This window comes from Homo sapiens, chromosome 2 (assembly GCF_000001405.40).
Source record: "Homo sapiens chromosome 2, GRCh38.p14 Primary Assembly".
Taxonomy (NCBI): Eukaryota; Metazoa; Chordata; class Mammalia; order Primates; family Hominidae; genus Homo; species Homo sapiens.
In genome coordinates, this window is record NC_000002.12 from 189,846,881 (window position 1) to 189,865,382 (window position 18,502).

Genomic DNA, 18,502 nt, shown 5'->3' on the forward strand with positions numbered 1-18,502 from the left:
AGACAGTCTCTTGCTCTGTCACCCAGGCTGAAGTGCAGTGGTGCAATCTCGGCTCACTGAAACCTCTGCCCCCCGGGTTCAAGTGATTCTCCTACCTCAGCCTCCTGAGTAGCTGGGATTGCAGGTGCGCACCACCACATCCGACTAATTTTTGTATTTTTAATAGAGATGGGGTTTCACCATGTTGAACAGGCTGGTCTTGAACTCCTGACCTCATGATCCACCCGCCTCGGCCCCCCAAAGCGCCCATTTCTTTTTTTCTAGATGATATGTTTTCTTCTATTTGAAAGTTCTTAGGATCTGTCCTTTATCCTTACAAGGATGTGTCTAAGTGTGTGTCTTTTATTATTTGTTTATTGTGCTGAGCATTTGATGTGGATCTTTTGAATCTGAAGGGTCATTTCTTTCTCAGCCCCAGGTTATATACTTCCATCCATTATCACTTCGATAATTTCTATTTTTTATGAACCTCCCTATTGTTATTAAGACCTCCTGTTAATTTTCTCCTATTGTTTTTTCTCAGGTTTCCCGTCTTTAATTTTTTCCATAAGTTTTGAGAGATCTGATTTTTAAACTGTCTATGGATTTTTTTTTAATTATGTTTAATTTCCAAGAGTATTTTTTATTGCTTTTTTATACATACTGTTTTATGGATACAAAACTTGGGTCTCTCTAAAGATAATTGTTTTTGTTTTTAAATTATTTGTTCCTTTAATAATTTCTGTTTATTAGGAGGTCAGTTTTGTTTTACTTGTCAGGTCTTTTTCCTCCAGTCCTCTAATTCTCTTGTCTTTCTCCATGAATAGGAAATCTAATTGGGAACAGGGTGTTTGTGGCTGGGCTTATTCACTGTCAGGTTCCACTTGAGTGTTGAGTAATTAAGGTCCTAATTCTGTTCCTGGAGTTGTGCTAAGCAGTTGGCTTCTTTTCTTCTCTTCCATTTTTTTTCATAATTTGTTGAAACCTCCTCTGCTACTATGTCCCTTCCCATTCTCTTTGTAGTATTGAGTTCTTAATATTGCTTATCATTTTATTAAAATCTTGGATGGAAGCTTGTACTCAGGTAATGCTTGGGATTTTCTTGGCCGGGGGAAAATTCAGGCCAACCTTAGTGGCCAGCTACAGTGTTAGCCATGATGTGACATGGGTCCTATTTTTCAGAGCTCCCTGAAGAGTTGTTTTCTAGTTTTGACACACTCCAGTGCTACTTCAAACTGGTTACGGTCGCTGACTTGGGATGGCAAGGGTACTGTCTGAATTCTGCTGGATTCCTCGTAGCTTCGTGGTACTTTGTTGCCTACAGTGGTAACCCAGGCAGCTTATGGCAGGAGATCTAGACTTGATACCTTTACCATCATGCCCTGGATATTCTAGCTATCATAATTTAGTCTGAAGACTAGCAGTGTTGGCATCACCTGGAAGCTTATTGAAAATAAAGAATCCTGGGCTTCATCCCAGATCGACTGAATCAGAATCTGCATTTTAACAAGGTCCCCAGGTGCACATTCAAGTGTGAAAAGCACTGATCTAGACTTTGGTCAGCTATGATTTCATGAGTGAACGAGACTATTGCATGAATCAGTCCTGTACTTGGAAATCTTTTCCTCCCATCTGTTTTGAGATGTGTTGCCAGATCTGTGCTTACCCATTGAATTTTTATTTTCAATGGGCAAGCACAGATAGAATTGCATAAAGAGTCCTAGTAATCCATCATAGATATGAGAATTTTTGCTGCACCTCTATGTGGTTTTTTTTTCATGGTGGATTGAGGGAATTTGGTAAGCATGTGTTAATGTTCCAGTTCCATGGGCTGTCAGAATGATAAACTTTTGAGTGTCTCTCTGGTGAGAGTGATCATCTAACCAAATCCCTCTTCTGTTATTGCACTGTGTGTCTAAGGTGTTGTATTTATGTTGCCACCAGCTACCCATTATCACTCCATTCTTTCTGGGCTTATATGGTTGAAGGAGAATGGTCCTGTATCACAGTTTCTTTGAGCCCTTTCTCCATCCCTGGCCAAAAGCAATCTTAAGTTATTTGCCACTGCTGGTTAGTGGTTGTCCTCACTCACCTCACTTCTGTCCCCATTATATGCCTTTAAGTTGTGCAACTTGGCCACCAAGGCCTCTTGACTAGTCTGGGATGACAGTGCTATTGGCCATTAAGGAACCTTGGATGTGGAGAATCTTTATATATCTCTTCCCATAATGTGAGGGTAACTTTTTTTTTTTTCCTCCTGCAGGGACCCCACATGGGAAGAACTAATTATTGGTGGTGATCTCAACAGGGCCACTGCTCTGGTGGCTTTTGTGAGGCATTTCCCATCGTGACTTTGTGGGCTTGATGGAGCTCCTGAAGTTATCCTTTTTGACATCTGTCTTCTCTTTGAAATTTCCATCTCTGCATTAGTTTATGCTAAGTTCTGAATAAATTCCTCATCATTGCCTGATTTTAATTCTCAAAACTATATATTTTGTTTCTAGGATTTACAATTTATTTGTTTTCATATTCTTCTCTTCTAAACTTGATTTATAGCTACCAATTCTAATTTCTTTACCTTTTTTTAAGTGTACGCTACTTTTCTTTTTTAAGAAGCATGTTACATATACTAATAATTTCAAAGTCCTTTTCATATTGCTCTATCATTTCTGCTTTCTTGAGACAAAATTATCTAATTCTCTGATATTTCATATGCTTTGAAAATTTAATTTCAAAATCATCTTGAATGCAGGTTTATTGTTTTTGTTGCTTTGTTTTTGCTTTCCCCAACTTCCACTTCTTTCCCATAGTTTGGCAGATAATTCACTCGCCAGCCCCAATTTGACACCAGGTATCATATTAGTAATGCATGCCTCATCCTGCCAAGCTTTTACAGGCCCCTTTTCTTAGCCAGTTTGGCTCAGCCTTGTTCTTGGTTTGGAGTTGTCTCTGTTCTTTCTTGTGACTCTGGCAAGCAGCTCCAGACAGTGGCCACGGTATTTTTAAACTTTTTTTTTTTTTTTTTTTGGAGAAGAGGTGCTATATGAGCCCCCTTTTTTAAATGGAAAGACAGATTTCAGTCCCCTGTCTTGAATGGGGTGTTTTCAGTCCTTATTTCTGTACCAGAATTTAATTTCCAGCTGACACATCTTGTTTCTGATCCTAGACCACATAGGACATTTGACCTTAGCCGTCACTCCCTGTTAAATGTTTTGCAGTCATAACATCTTTAACTACTTTTATGTGGGTGGCCTTTTGAAAATTTGTATTTTATCTATCACTGTTATATATTTGCAGTTGGAATGGCAGAGAAGGGGATTTCACATGAACTTGTTTCACTGTCCTGAACAAAAGTGCTTAAATTACTACTGTAAAAATGTAACTTCTTGGTGTTGTGGAGGTTTACTGAAAGAGGAGAAGGATTAGTGTTAGGAGACCAGCCAGGGTTACATCAATATAATCAGGGTTAAGAAGAGGAGATGGGTTTAACAGACTAGGTAGCTGGCAGAGCCCTTATCATAGTAAAGGAGTATAGGATGAGCTAGCAGGATAGAAGTAGGATGAAATATTTTACCAAGTTTTGAATGTGGTGAGATTGAGAATATTTTTGTGACAGCCAGTTGAAGATGGTAAGCACTGGGGAGTGAAATAAATAGCAGCTATACAGCTATATCTTAGCATCACTGGTGTATGGGTAGTTGTTGAAACTATAGGTGTGAATGAAATTAGGAAGAGTAACTAGAGAGCAGGAAAAAGGGGGCTGATAATGGAACTTGGGGACCATCATCATTTATACGGGATAAGGAAAAGGAGAGAAACCAGCAAACCAGAATGAAGAGGAGGCATTAGAGAGGAAGCAGAAAGACCAAAGGAGAAGGATGAAACAAATTCATTCAGTGAGACACTTCCCAGATGAGAGAATTGTGAGGGTGTCGGGCTGCAGGGAGTCAAATAAGAGAAGGGCTGCGTAGTGTCCCTTTAGTGTCCCTTGGAGTTGGTTATTGAAGTAGAAGCCTGCTTATACGGGATTAGAGATGAAGGGAAGAGAGGGGCGGACCATAGTTGAGAAGCAATTAGGGAGGAGAGGTATTTGTATTTTGCCTTCAATTTTTGTTATGCTTTTTAGGAAATTGAGGAATACATTTGGGTACAGAATTTTGTAAAGTCTTATCTAATTTTCAATTTTGTTGCACTGATTTGGTGTCTCAAGTTATTTTTCCATGAACTGGCCTGATTTTCACTTTTTACAGCATTTTATGAGTCTACTGTTTTATTTTACTTTGCCATGTAACTTAAACATAGTTTGTTCTTAAGATTATCCTAAACCATTTTTAAAGCTCAGTATCTAGAATAGTAATTATTAAGTGGCCAACCAAGGTGGTGTGAAAGGAAATCACTAGCAATATTACATATTTCTTCTTCATTTTATTATTTATTCTTATCCTCTCAGGGCAGACTTTTTTTAAAGTCACAAACCCAATAAGTCTTTCAGAGGCTAAACAGGTTCTCCCTGATGCCCAGCAGGTGCTTTAAGAAGGGTCTCATGTTACCTGGTAAATTATACAACCATTTTTAAATGCTGTGAAGTTTTGCAGTTAATTAAGTAGTATCATTTTATAATGGATTATACAGATTAATTTATTTTTTCAAATTGGCACAATTTGGCATTGTGACAATAATGCACTTAGTGTTCTAAAACTGGTAATGCATCTCCTTAAACACTTATTTCCAAGGGCAGGGATAGCCATAGACATAGGTGGTGGCTTACAGGCTATGTTAATAAGGAGCCCCACGGTTCCTGCTTAACTAAAAATAGTACCCCCAGTGACTTGCTTGTTTTTCTCAACCTAAGCTAAAATTTTACTATGAGTGTTCCTTGACAGATTAATAACACATCTAGTTCTAGTTGTTTCTGATAAGAGATTTTAAGCCTATATTTTAAATAACTTAACAAAAATCACATAGCTAGTGGTAGAACTGGGATTCAAACCTTGTCAATCTGGCTCTGTCTTATATTCTTAACAGTATAGGATGTTGTCTTTAGCTGTGTTCATTAACTAAAGATAAAAGTGGGAGCATGTTCTCTGCTTCCTATCCCTTCAATATCTTTCTCTTCTCTCTGGTATTCTTTTCTAGTATCCTTCTTCATTTTCTCTTTCTTCTTTATACATTTGTAAAGTAGAGAAAGATAGCATATAAATATTCAGTAAAATTTTTATAGAAGAGTTTTCTGAACAAAAATGAAGCTAAAGTACAACAGTGCAATCAGTATTTAGCCCTGAGGAAGTTAATACAGAGTAAAAGAGTTTTTTTTTTTAACTCAGAAATGAAAACCCAGTAAGATTGGCTTTATATAGCATACTCAGAATGAAGATAGAAACAGCAACTTCTTTATAGGAAAAGATGGTTAAAGACAAAAGGACAAACAGCCAGAGAAAAGTCACAATGTGAGGAAAGAAACTTTTAAAAGACAGAAAAAAGGTTGAGTATAGATTGAATGCTCTATGTCCTATGACAGTTAAATATCTGAAAGTATAACCATTCATGAAGATTTTATAAATGCCAATTTTTCCTTAGAGTTGCCAACAAAAAGAGGCAGACAGCACCAGTGTAGCATGCTTTACTATTTTATTTAAAGTTAATACTTAAGACATGATTATCAGGAAGTATATGGCTTTTTAGACCTTAAGATGAAAATCTGTTTTTTAATTTTTTTATACCTTTCAAAGTGTTATATATAGCCAGACCCGTGGAACTACATTGTTGACATTGCATATTCTGTAATTATTATATAGATTTATCTCAGTGGATTTCTTCCAAAGTGTGATGCAGACCACTCTTTCACTAGTCTTTCAACACCAGAAAGAAGTTTCATCTTCATAAACAGTCGACCAGTACATCAAAAAGATATCTTAAAGGTAGTATGCTTTAGAAAAAAAAAATTATTTGAATTGGAAATTTGTCACATTGTAACAAGGACTGCTTCCAAGAATTTGCTCTAAAATAAAAAAAAAGAAATACAATGTCATTTATTAAACATTATGCATGATAGAAAGACATATGATGTCTCTCTTATTCTTCCTGGCAATTCTGGACTGCATTATCATCCCCATTTATAGTGAGGAAACAAATGTTCAATGTTTCTCTTAGGCCACATAGCCAGGAAATTAGAGAGTTAGTAGTTTTTTTTGTTTTTGTTTTTGTTCTTTTGAGATGGAGTTTCGCTCTCCAGGCTGGATTGCAATGGCGTGTCCCGTGATCTTGGCTCACTGCAACCTCCATCTCCTGGGTTTGAGCAATTCGCCTGCCTCAGCCTCACAAGTAGCTGGTATTACAGGCACCCGCCACTATGCCCAGCTAATTTTTTTTGTAGTTTTAGTAGAGATGGGGTTTCACCATTTGGCCAGGCTGGTCTCGAACTCCTGTCCTCAAGTGATCCGCCCACCTCGGCCTCCCAAAGTGCTGTGATTACAAGCCAGAGCCACCATGCCAGAGTTTTGATTTGAACCCTAAGCCTTCAGAACTTCCATGACATTGTGATGTTTAATTATTAAGCCAGTTTTATTGCATGTTTGTACTTGTTTTGAATGCTTGTGCTTCATTTAGGTTCAAGGCCTCCAAAGGAGTATTACAGATAATGCTTTTCTTTTCTTTTCTTTTCTTTTTTTTTTTTTGAGATGCAGCCTTGTTGTTTTGCCCATGCTGGAATGCAGTAGCATGATTTCGGCTCACTGCAACCTCCATCTCCCAGGTTCAAGCAATTCTCCTGCCTCATCCTCCCAAGTATCTGGGATTACATGTTCCTGCCACTATGCCCGGCTAATTTTTGTACTTTTTAGTAGAGATGGGGTTTCATCATGTTGGCCAGGCTGGTCTTGAACTCCTGACCTCAAGTGATCCCCCCACCTTGGCCTCCCAAAGTGCTGGGATCCCAGGCATGAGCCACTGTGCCGGGTCATGATAATGCTTTTCCTAATAAGCAGTTGCATCTACTCAATTTCTCAGTTGAATTTGCTGGGTTTTATTGTACTTTTTAATTACATATTATTTTTTCTTTTATTTATTACATGTATTTCTAGTTAATCCGACATCATTACAATCTGAAATGCCTAAAGGAATCTACTCGTTTGTATCCTGTTTTCTTTCTGAAAATCGATGTTCCTACAGCTGATGTTGATGTAAATTTAACACCAGATAAAAGCCAAGTATTATTACAAAATAAGGTAACTCTTTTCAGATAATTTTTTCTTATGCTATTTATAAACATATATTACTGTTTTCATATAAAAAGATTTGTTTATATTTATCTTTTTTATTATTTAAAATCTTGTCTATTATTTTCATAATTTCCCCTAACATTTGTTAATTTGTATTTTTAGGAATCTGTTTTAATTGCTCTTGAAAATCTGATGACGACTTGTTATGGACCATTACCTAGTACAAATTCTTATGAAAATAATAAAACAGATGTTTCCGCAGCTGACATCGTTCTTAGTAAAACAGCAGAAACAGATGTGCTTTTTAATAAAGTGGAATCATCTGGAAAGAATTATTCAAATGTTGATACTTCAGTCATTCCATTCCAAAATGATATGCATAATGATGAATCTGGAAAAAACACTGATGATTGTTTAAATCACCAGATAAGTATTGGTGACTTTGGTTATGGTCATTGTAGTAGTGAAATTTCTAACATTGATAAAAACACTAAGAATGCATTTCAGGACATTTCAATGAGTAATGTATCATGGGAGAACTCTCAGACGGAATATAGTAAAACTTGTTTTATAAGTTCCGTTAAGCACACCCAGTCAGAAAATGGCAATAAAGACCATATAGATGAGAGTGGGGAAAATGAGGAAGAAGCAGGTCTTGAAAACTCTTCGGAAATTTCTGCAGATGAGTGGAGCAGGGGAAATATACTTAAAAATTCAGTGGGAGAGAATATTGAACCTGTGAAAATTTTAGTGCCTGAAAAAAGTTTACCATGTAAAGTAAGTAATAATAATTATCCAATCCCTGAACAAATGAATCTTAATGAAGATTCATGTAACAAAAAATCAAATGTAATAGATAATAAATCTGGAAAAGTTACAGCTTATGATTTACTTAGCAATCGAGTAATCAAGAAACCCATGTCAGCAAGTGCTCTTTTTGTTCAAGATCATCGTCCTCAGTTTCTCATAGAAAATCCTAAGACTAGTTTAGAGGATGCAACACTACAAATTGAAGAACTGTGGAAGACATTGAGTGAAGAGGAAAAACTGAAGTAAGTTTCCAGAGCTTGCATGTGACTTGAATGTTCAGCTATTTCCATTCTATATGACTCACTGTTTAAAAAGAATTTTTTTCACTTCTTATTTATGGAAAAGCAGATCAGAAAATACCTTTGGCTTGGATAGAGTACCTTTTTTGGTAACACTTTTTTTTTCTGCTAATTTAGGTTTTTTGTTGGGGCGGGGGCTTGTATTATTTTGTTTTTTTTTTGTTTAAGCCTTAACTGCTTTCTGATATTATTAAATTTTTTGCTAAAGGTTTTCCATTCATCTTCTCAATTTCAAACCACCATTTATCTTCTATTTTTTTTTTGTTTTATGTTTAATAACTTTTCTGTTGTAGAACTTTTTAAAAAAGCTTTTGCATTGGAACAGTTGTAACTGGTGTTTTTAATATCTTAACTATTCCCTTTCTTAAATTGGTCTCCAAAATATGTAATACAACACAAAAAAATTTGTATTATTGGCGATTCAATTTAGTGTTGTTCATTTATACTGTTTCTATTCAGTATAACTTAAGGCTTGCTTCTAAGATGTATTATTTATTATAACTTATAAACTATAGTGGGTATTTTTATTACATAAATAGGTGATTTGATCTGTCTTTGATTAAAATAGTATTTGCCATATTTAAATTAGATTTTCTGAATAAATGTTCCAAAATAATATGATGAATGTTTTTAATTGACTTAGGACACTTAATATAAACACAAAATATTATGTTCTGGTGATCTAATCCAGCAGAAAATGAGAGTGAAATTATACCTCCAATCATATACAGGTATCTGAGTATCTCAATATTATGTCAAATGTGTGGAAAAAATTTTAAACGTAATCCATCATCTGGAGTTTATATTTGGTGATAAACTACCTAGATACTTGACCAATTTTTTTTTTCATTCTTTCCTTAGCTTATTCAGTCTTATAAAAACAATATCAATTTAAAATGATAAAGACCACTATTAACACCAAAATGAAAAGCCTCCATAAAGCTTTTCTCTTCAGCCTTTTTTGTCATCTTTTTTTTTTTTTAAGTGGGAATGGTTATTATATTTTGTTCTTTTGGAAATATCCACAAAAGTAGACATTTTGAAGTATAAAGCCATTACCCCATTTCACCACCAATCATCTCATAGTCAGCCCTATTAGTCCTGTTTCATCCATACTTCCATTCACTTTCTTTCCCTTTGTTTATTATTCTGAAGCAAATCATAGGCATATCATCTATTTCAGTATGTATCTCTAAGAGATAAAGATATTCATATTTTAAACATAACCATAATTGTCATAACTTTTTTAAAGGTATAGATTCCTTAATATATCAAATACTCAGTGTTCAAATTTATAATTGTTTCATAAATGTCAGATTTTTAAAGATTTGTTTTGAATTATGATGCAAATAAGGTTCACACAATTGTGATTGTCTTTAGTTTTACCTAAATGACACAACTATGCAGTTTAAAGGTGAGGGGACTTAACTTTTAAATACAGTAAGCCCACAAAAGTTGAATTGCATTGCCCAGGGAAATGAATTGAGAATTGTCTGAGAATAGGAAAAAACCATAGATGTTTCAAGTTCTCATGGAAATAGGGACAGTGTACAAGCTTATGATGGAAACTTATCTTGCTGACTGTTCCTTTGCAGCCTCACAACAGCAGGTATCATTCCAGTTGCTTTTTGGGGAATGTCTGCATTGTTTCTCCTTGTGGGTCCCAAGGTGTCAGGTTACTAGGATTATGATTAATAGGCCTCATCTAAAAATCCATTTACCATCAATTACCGGAATATTCCAGGTAATATTCTGGAATCAAGCTTACTTTCTCTCACATTGCCATAAAGTAGACAAAAGAGGCTTTGATGGTCAAGACCTCTGAAGCTTCACCTGGATTCTAATCACAGTTCTTTGTTAGCTTTGTATTTAAAAGTGTGGACAGTCTCTCATGGATTGTTGTGAGGATTAAATAAGATATTGTGTGTTATGATACAAGATCAATTACTAACACATAGTAAATGATTGCTCACAATGTCAATATGATCAGTTTTTAATCTATGAAAGGGAATTTTTCTGTTGAGAAGAACATTTCTCATTTGTTGAGTCAAGATTAAATTGAATTTGGAGGCCAGAAATAGAAACCTATGAAGAAAATATAGGTATCTTGGGATCAGAGTTCTAATTGTATGTCACAGAGTGCTGTGTTAGAACCTTTCAGAGCCAGGGTTCCTGGGACCATGATCAGCTGAGTCTAGTTGCATCATGATTAGTGAGAAGGTAGAGCAAAAATGATACAACACCCAAGAATCGTACTAGCTACCATTTCTCTTCCTGTCTTTATCTTGGAGTTCTGTCCATGATCCTAAATTCTCTAAGGTATATTAAGAGATATGAGAGTAGACGCCTCTTCTATAGACCTTCAGTCCATCCTTTTCTTCCTTCTTCTTTTTTTCTTCCTTTTTTCCTTTTCCTTTCTTCTTCTCTCGATTCCTCCTTTCCCTTCCCTTCTTTCAACTAGGAAATATTAAGGGTTTTCTGCATATAAGGCCTGAGGTACTCTAGCTAGTCACAGATAAAACATACTTTCCCAACTCATGAATGGTGTAGGCTAGTAAGGAAGATTCAGTTAAACAAGAATGTGATGAGCTTTAAGATACAAGTTTTAAATATAAGGAATTAGGGGAAAACTTGGCAGTTGGACTTAATATTATCTGTGGGACAGGTAATGCTTCCCTGCATAGAAATTAGCCAGAAGGATTTTAGGGAATTGTGTAGGTTGGAGGAACAGTATATGAGAAGGCCCAGAAGCTAGAAGGAACATGGTGTTATTAAGGAAATAAGATTCTATGACAGGAACAGAATATGAGGGAGTATGTGTAAAGAAAGTTGGGGGAAGGTGAGGGATGGATAATGGAAGGTTCTCAAAGCTATAACAAAGAGTTTGAATAAGGAGTAGGATCAGGATTGTTCAGTTTTCTGATGAGAGCTTGGGACAGATTTTGGAGTCAGGGAGTTACTGACATTGTTTTAGTTCTTCCTTTCTGGAGTTTGTTTGTTGTTTTTTGTTTTTTTCCTTCCTCGCCTTTCTTCTAGTGGATTAAAATCCAGATTTGGGCCATGTGCCCTACCACTGGGGTCTCACTCAGTTGACGTTAGCTTGAACTTTTCATTTGCAGTAGTTATGAATATATTGCTATTTAAACTAAAAAAAAATTGCAACTAGGGTATTATGAAAATGATAAACTTTATAACTAAATGCAATGTTTAGTCGCAAGAACATTATTTGACTTGACTTCTGGTCAAATCAGGATTAATATTTTCCATTCAAGTTACTAAATCCCTTCTTGACATTAAGTACAACAGTAGCAGCTGCTTTTACTTAACATTTACTTAATATTCCTTTGGACATAACTTTTTATATTTCCCAAAGATGAGTACCATATGTGAAAATTTGCACATTATAATTAATTACAAATGGGGACCTTTGTTTTGAACTCATTTTACCACTGCACAGGAAAAATCTTTAATTTGAATGTCTAAGAGCTAAAAATACTATTTCTAGGACCTGTTGAAAGTAAACTATTGAAAATCATGTGTTTTGTATAGCTAATCCAGAACCTCAGATTCTAAGTAGAAAATAACTTTAAAATTGTGAATATAGCAAGGTAAGTAACCAAAGGAGCCATTTTTTTAATGTAGTTTACAGTGAAATAAGGTCTTTTTTTAACACTCTTATTCAGGTAACATTTCTTCATTCAGCAGACAGGTACTGAGCACAAACTACATGCCATGCTGTGATCTCCTGTCTTTTAAATCTCACTTTTAACAGCACTGTTCTCTCAATAATATTTTTATTTCTTCACATTCCATATTTTTCCTTGAGATTATTATATGCAGATAATGAAATTCAGTTAGTGTTTGAAGAGTATGAGACTAGAAATAACCTTAATTCTCTAGTCCCAAGTTTAAAACTTTCTTAAAAAGTAATCTTTTAGCAAAGTTACTTAATTTCCAACCATTACTCGCCCCTTTGTTGTGAGATTTGTGTTTCTTGGTAGAAAATAATGAGAGCAAAACATTTATCACCACTTACTCTGTGCTAAGTAATATTCTAAGTACTTGGCACACTTTAACTCATTTTATTTCTCACAACAAAACTGAAGTAGATGTGTATTATCCATAAGTTACAGTTGAGCATGAGACACAGAAAGATTAAATAATTTTCATAGGTTTACAGAACTACTAAATGGCAGAACCAAGCCAGGCTGTCTTCAGAGTCTGTGTTATTAATCACCACACTTTGCTGAACAAATTACAGTAGTTTCCAATTCTGGGTATGTACTGGAATCACCTATGGAGCTCTGTGACAGCAGCTGCCCAATCTCAACCTAGGCCTAGAGAATTAGAAGCTCTGAGGATGGGATCCAGGTATCACTTTTTAAGAAAAGGGGTGACATAACCGCTGTGCTAGGTCTTTGGCCCTGGAAGTTTCATTTTTCTCATATTGTTGACAAAAAGATCTCTTAACTTTCTACCCAGTGTAATTTTTTTTTATTCTTGAGTTCTTAGAATCTATCCAGTATAATTTTTCGAACATCCATTATCTTCTACCTTTGAAATTGAGTTAAATTAGATGGTTTGGGTGTGTTTAATTTATCCAAATTTGTCTTTTCATTGATGACTAAAATGAGAATTAAAAAAACTAACAATTAGCTAATCACATACTTTCTGTTTTGTGATTATTGTAGTGACTATAATTTCACTAGCAGTTACCAAATGAAGTATTATATACAAAAAATTTTCCTTAATGTTGTTCAGGAAATTGTTTATTCCATGTTGATGTTAAAGCAGATATATAAGGAATGCTTCAGATCTGGAATTGATCCATTTCTTTATTCATCCTCTCTTTTTCTGATTGTTTGTGGCCCCACACTTTCTTAAATGGTTTTTTTAACTGGGTAAAATTTACCTAATGTGAATTGCAGAGATGTTAATGGTGTAATTTGATGCATTTTCATACATGTGTACACACACATAAACATCACCCCAAACAAAATAGAGAACATCTCCATCATCCCAGAATGGTTCCTCATGCCACCTCTCAGCCAGTCTCCACAGGCAGCCACTCTTTTGAGTTTTGTTACACTAGTTTGGTTTTGCCAGTACTTGAACTTCACATGTGTATAAAATCATGTGATGTATACTCTTTCATATCTGGCTTCTTAGGCTCAACAAAGATATTTTTGTGACTCATCCATGTTGTTGAATCTATGTGTAGTAGTTTTTTTTTTTAAATCAAAGAATAATATTCAGTTGTATAAATATACCAAAATTTGTTTAATCAGTCTCCAGTTGATGGACATTTGGGTTGTTTCCAGTTTGGGGCTATTATGAGTAAAATTGTGTTGTTTACTTTCCAAATATTTGGGGCTTTTCCGGATATTTTATTTCTAATTTAAGTGTTTCATGGATAGAGAAAATGCTAAGTTAGATTTCAATCTTTTGAAAAGTAATGAGAATTAAAGCCCAGTATATGTTCTGTCTTGACAAATGTTCCATGTTCACTTAAAAAGAATCAGGATTCTGCAGTTGCTAGATGGTAGTGTTCCAAAATGTCAGTTAAGTCTTAAGTAGGTGATAATATTGCTAAAATCTTCTATATCTTTGAGGAATTTTTTTTTTTTTTTTTTTTTTTTTTTTTTTTTTTTTTTGAGGAGGAGGATCTCTAGTTCTGTCAGTTACTGAGGGAGGAGTATATACTGTTGCAACTCTGGCTTCTTATGCTTACTATTTGCATGGTATATCTTTTTTTCAGTCTTTTAGACTATCCTCGTCTTTACATTTAAAGTGTAGACAAAGTTCGTTGTTACTTTTTAAATTCAGTTTGATAATCTTTGCCTTTGAATTGCAATATTTAGTCCATGTAATATAATAATTGATATGGTTGGGTTTAGGTCTGCCATTTTCCTGTTTTCTGTTTGTCCTAGCTCTATTTTGTTCTTTTGTTCCTCCTTTTTGGGGGGAGAGGAGCCCTTTAGGGTTAAAAGAATATATTTCAGTATCTAATTTTAATTTCTTTATTGAGTTTCCATTAGTTTTTGCTTTGGTGATTACATTATGCATCCTTATAATCTACTTGGAGTTAATGTAAAAACCCTGTAAGTATAATTTCACTTGTATTTGGTGTCACTTTCCTTAATTGTGCACATATACTGGCAACTAATTCTCATCTTAATCTGAAAACATCTATTTCATCTTCATTTTTGAAGGACTTTTTTTTTTTTTTTAATGATATAGCCAAATTCTGGGTTCTTTTGCCACTGAAAAGATTTCACTGTTGGCCAGGCGCAGTGGCTCATGCCTGTAATCCCAGCACTTTGGGAGGCCAAGGCAGGTGGATCACCTGAAGTCAGAAGTTTGAGACCAGCCTGGCCAACATGGCGAAACCCCATCTCTACTAAAAATACAAAATTAGCCAGGGGTGGTGGTGCACCCCTCTAATCCCAGCTACTCTGGAGGCTGAGGCAGGAAAATCGCTTAGAACCTGGGAGGCAGAGGTTGCAGTGAGCTGAAATCGTGCCACTGCACTCCAGCCTGGGAGACAGAGAGACTCTGTCTCAAAAAAAAAAAAAAAGATTTCACTGTCATCTGGCTCTGCATTGCTCTTTACAATATCCATTATTTTTGCGGTTTCCTATTTGTACTGTTTTTTTCCTCTTTATTTTCAGGATTTTATCTTAATCTTTGGTTTTCAGCCTATTATACCTACCTGTAAATTTATCTAATATACCTACCTGTATATTAGATATAAATATATCTAATATACCTACCTGTAAATTTCTTTGCATTTATTCTCTTTGGAGGTTTGCTGACCTTCTTGCATCTGTAAGTTGTATTTCTCCAAATTTGCTGATTATCAACCCTAATTTCTTCACATTTTATTTTCTTTCCCAGTTTTCCATTGTTTATCTGGGACTCCAATGACATATATATTAGATTGTTTGTTTTGCCTTAGGTCACTGCAATGCTTTTCCAGTTGTCTTCACTTTTCTGTAAAAACAACACATTTTATCATTTCTATTGATCTGTCTTGAACTTTACTGACCCTTTCTTTTGCCATCTTTTATCTGCTGTTAAGCCTACCCGGTGAATATTTAATTTCTGATATTGTATTTTTTAGGTCTAGAACTTCCACTGTATTTTTTTTATAATTTCCACTAATCTGTTGAGATTCCCCCTTCTATTTTCTCATTATGATAATCTTTTAAGACCTTAAACATTTATTAAACCTGTTTTTAAGTGGTTTTTTGGTAATCTTGACATCTGGGTCATCTTGAGGTTGGCTTCTACTGACCACTTTTTCTTTTGACCATGACTCTCATTTTCCTGTTTTGTTAGAGTGATAACTTTTGATTGTATAGCAGGCATTGTGGGTGATATGTTTAAAACTCTGGATTCTGTTATCTTCTTCTGAAAAGTGCTGATTTTTGTTCTACCAGGTATTTAAATTACTGACAGATCACCTTGAGCTTGTAGAGGTTTTGTTTTATATTTTGTTAGGGAGAAGCTGTTTCAATTTTGTTCTTGGACCCAGGGCAACTTCCTTAGTTTAGGACGTAGGTTTTTTATCCTAAGATGTGGCCCTCTTCCAGTTTTAACTGAAAGCCCAAAGTGTTCACCCGGCCATGAAACTGTGGAATTCAGATTCCAAACTTTGTTTCCCTGCAATGGGCAGCAGCTGAAATCTCTGTTCAGCTCATTTAGCCTTCTAATGGTTGTTTTTCTTTGGGTTCCCACACATGGAATTTTCTGGGATTTTCTTTCTCAATTTTCAGTTGTTCTGGAAGCAGACAGCTCTGTGTCCTGGTGACTCAGGCTAATAAGAGTGCAACTTTCTGACTGAGTTCTGGCCACCCTGCTCCCCATTAATACTGAGGACTGCCCTCTGGTTAAAAGTCCTATAAATGTGGGTCTCTATTTTTTTCACCCCTCAAGGAGTGAATCCATTCTAATTTCTTCCTGCTTTTGGCTGTTCTTCAGTGCCTACTTTAAATAATTGAGGGTTTTTTGTTTGTTTGTTTGTGTGTTTGTTTGTTGTTGTTGTTTTTTCTTTTTGGTGTTTTTTTTTGGTTTTTTTTTTTTTGAGACAGAGTCTTGCTCTGTCGCCCAGGCTGGAGTGCAGTGGCACGATCTCGGCTCATTGCAACTTCTGCCTCCTGGGTTCAAGCAATTCTCATGCCTCAGCCTTCTGAGTAGCTGGGACTACAAGTGCACACCAACATGCCTGGCTAACTTTTGTGTTTTTAGTAGAGACAGTGTTTCGCCATTTTGGCCAGGCTAGTCTTGAACTGCTGACCTCAGGTGATCTGCCAACCTCAGCCTCCTAAAATGCTGGGATTACAGGTGTGAACCACCACTATGCCCGGCCAATAATTGATTTTTATATTTTGTTCAGTGTTTGTCATAGTTATATGCAGGAGAGTTAGTCTAATACATGTTCCTTTGTCATTACTATATCTGGAACACCAGTACTTTATTTTTATAAAATTTACTTCAGATGGTTAATATATTTCTGATTATGATCTCATTAGTTCTATTTTATTTCTATTCTTAGATATGAAGAGAAGGCTACTAAAGACTTGGAACGATACAATAGTCAAATGAAGAGAGCCATTGAACAGGAGTCACAAATGTCACTAAAAGATGGCAGAAAAAAGATAAAACCCACCAGCGCATGGAATTTGGCCCAGAAGCACAAGTTAAAAACCTCATTATCTAATCAACCAAAACTTGATGAACTCCTTCAGTCCCAAATTGAAAAAAGAAGGAGTCAAAATATTAAAATGGTACAGATCCCCTTTTCTATGAAAAACTTAAAAATAAATTTTAAGAAACAAAACAAAGTTGACTTAGAAGAGAAGGATGAACCTTGCTTGATCCACAATCTCAGGTTTCCTGATGCATGGCTAATGACATCCAAAACAGAGGTAATGTTATTAAATCCATATAGAGTAGAAGAAGCCCTGCTATTTAAAAGACTTCTTGAGAATCATAAACTTCCTGCAGAGCCACTGGAAAAGCCAATTATGTTAACAGAGAGGTATGATGATACAATACTTTTTAAGAGTAAAAATATTTATTATAATAGTTCATACTAGATTAAAATCGAAGGTAGAAGGTTGGGAATGTTTCCTAGTAAGGATTAGTGGTATTTATTTATTTTAATCTTTTAAACATTTGATTTCTAGGCCGGGCGCAGTGGCTCATGCCTGTAATCCCAGCACTTTGGGAGGCCAAGGTGGGTGGATCACGAGGTCAGGAGTTTGAGACCAGCCTGGCCAACATAGTGAAACCCTGTCTCTACTAAAAATACAAAAGTTAGCCGGGTGTGATGGCACGCACCTGTAGTCCCAGCTACTTGGGAGGCTGAGGCAGGAGAATCGCTTGAACCTGGGAGGTGGAGGTTGCAGTGAGCTGAGACGGTGCCATTGCACTCCAGCCTGGGTAACAGAGCAAGAGTCTGTCTCAGAAAAAAAAAAAAAAAAAAAAAAAAAAAAAAATATATATATATATATATATATATATATATATATATATATATATATATGATTTCTAATCTTTAATGGAATTGTTTAGAAATAGTATCAGAATACTCTAGATAGTTCACTTCTACATTTAATAAGTATGAAGCTCATTTCTCTGGTACATTAGTGACTTCTCTAGGGTAATTTTGAAGTTAGATTGCCATGTCTTTATTCCATTATGTACTCATTGTTTTGACATTTTCAAACACATAATAAAATAGAAGTATACGATGCATACCTTTATCAGTAATTATCCAAGACTTTGCCACATTTGCTTTACCTTTCTATACAGTATATACACGTACATTTTCTTTCCTTCGCAAAATTAGTTTAGAACAATTCCCCCTCCTATATCTTTCAATATCTCTCTCTCAAAAAATGGCTGTTTTCTCAACTAAACACAATACCTTTTTCATACCTTAAATAATAATAATTCCTTGGAATTTTTCCTCATTATCTCAAAATACCTTTTTTTCCAGTTTTTTAAAAAATTTATATTTAATTTGTATCTAAACAAGATCCACATACTACATTTGGTTATCTTGTTTATATATCTTAAAAATCACTCTATTATTGTAGATTCTGAGTCATTTGTTCAGTGGAATGTTCTGTTGTCTGTATTTGCTTTCTTATGTTGTTCAACTTCTCTCCCCTATGTTTAATTGGGGGT

The 18,502-nt window shown here is 35.3% G+C and overlaps 1 protein-coding gene and 1 long non-coding RNA gene across 23 annotated transcripts in view, besides 1 other annotated feature; one reads left to right on the top strand and one right to left on the bottom strand.

The window, feature by feature from the left end:
- The window catches only part of PMS1 (PMS1 homolog 1, mismatch repair system component), a 93,180-nt gene that overhangs the window by 62,431 nt on the left and 12,247 nt on the right, over positions 1–18,502 (top strand). For 15 of the 22 annotated variants that reach the window (NM_001321047.2, XM_047444775.1, XM_024452966.2 and 12 more), the window contains 4 exons: positions 5,775–5,897; positions 7,059–7,202; positions 7,359–8,248; positions 16,863–17,348. In NM_001321047.2, the coding sequence (NP_001307976.1) occupies positions 5,775–5,897; positions 7,059–7,202; positions 7,359–8,248; positions 16,863–17,348 (1,643 nt within the window). The remainder of the gene's footprint in view (positions 1–5,774; positions 5,898–7,058; positions 7,203–7,358; positions 8,249–16,862; positions 17,349–18,502) is intronic. The other 7 variants (XM_017004348.2, NM_001128144.2, NM_001321044.2 and 4 more) reach the window with 2 other exon arrangements.
- LOC105373796 (uncharacterized) lies at positions 5,591–17,748 on the bottom strand. Its single transcript, XR_001739151.2, has 3 exons — positions 17,651–17,748; positions 15,079–15,298; positions 5,591–5,977 (listed from the first exon to the last, which is right to left on the bottom strand). It is a non-coding gene; the product is annotated as an uncharacterized LOC105373796 (long non-coding RNA).
- Positions 16,218–16,475: a silencer, noted in NCBI's record as "fragment chr2:190727824-190728081 (GRCh37/hg19 assembly coordinates)". NCBI's record gives its function as "represses an EF-1alpha promoter that drives an FKBP-Casp9 reporter gene in an ReSE screen in K562 erythroleukemia cells {active_cell/tissue: K562}" and the evidence as "EXISTENCE:reporter gene assay evidence [ECO:0000049][PMID:32094911]".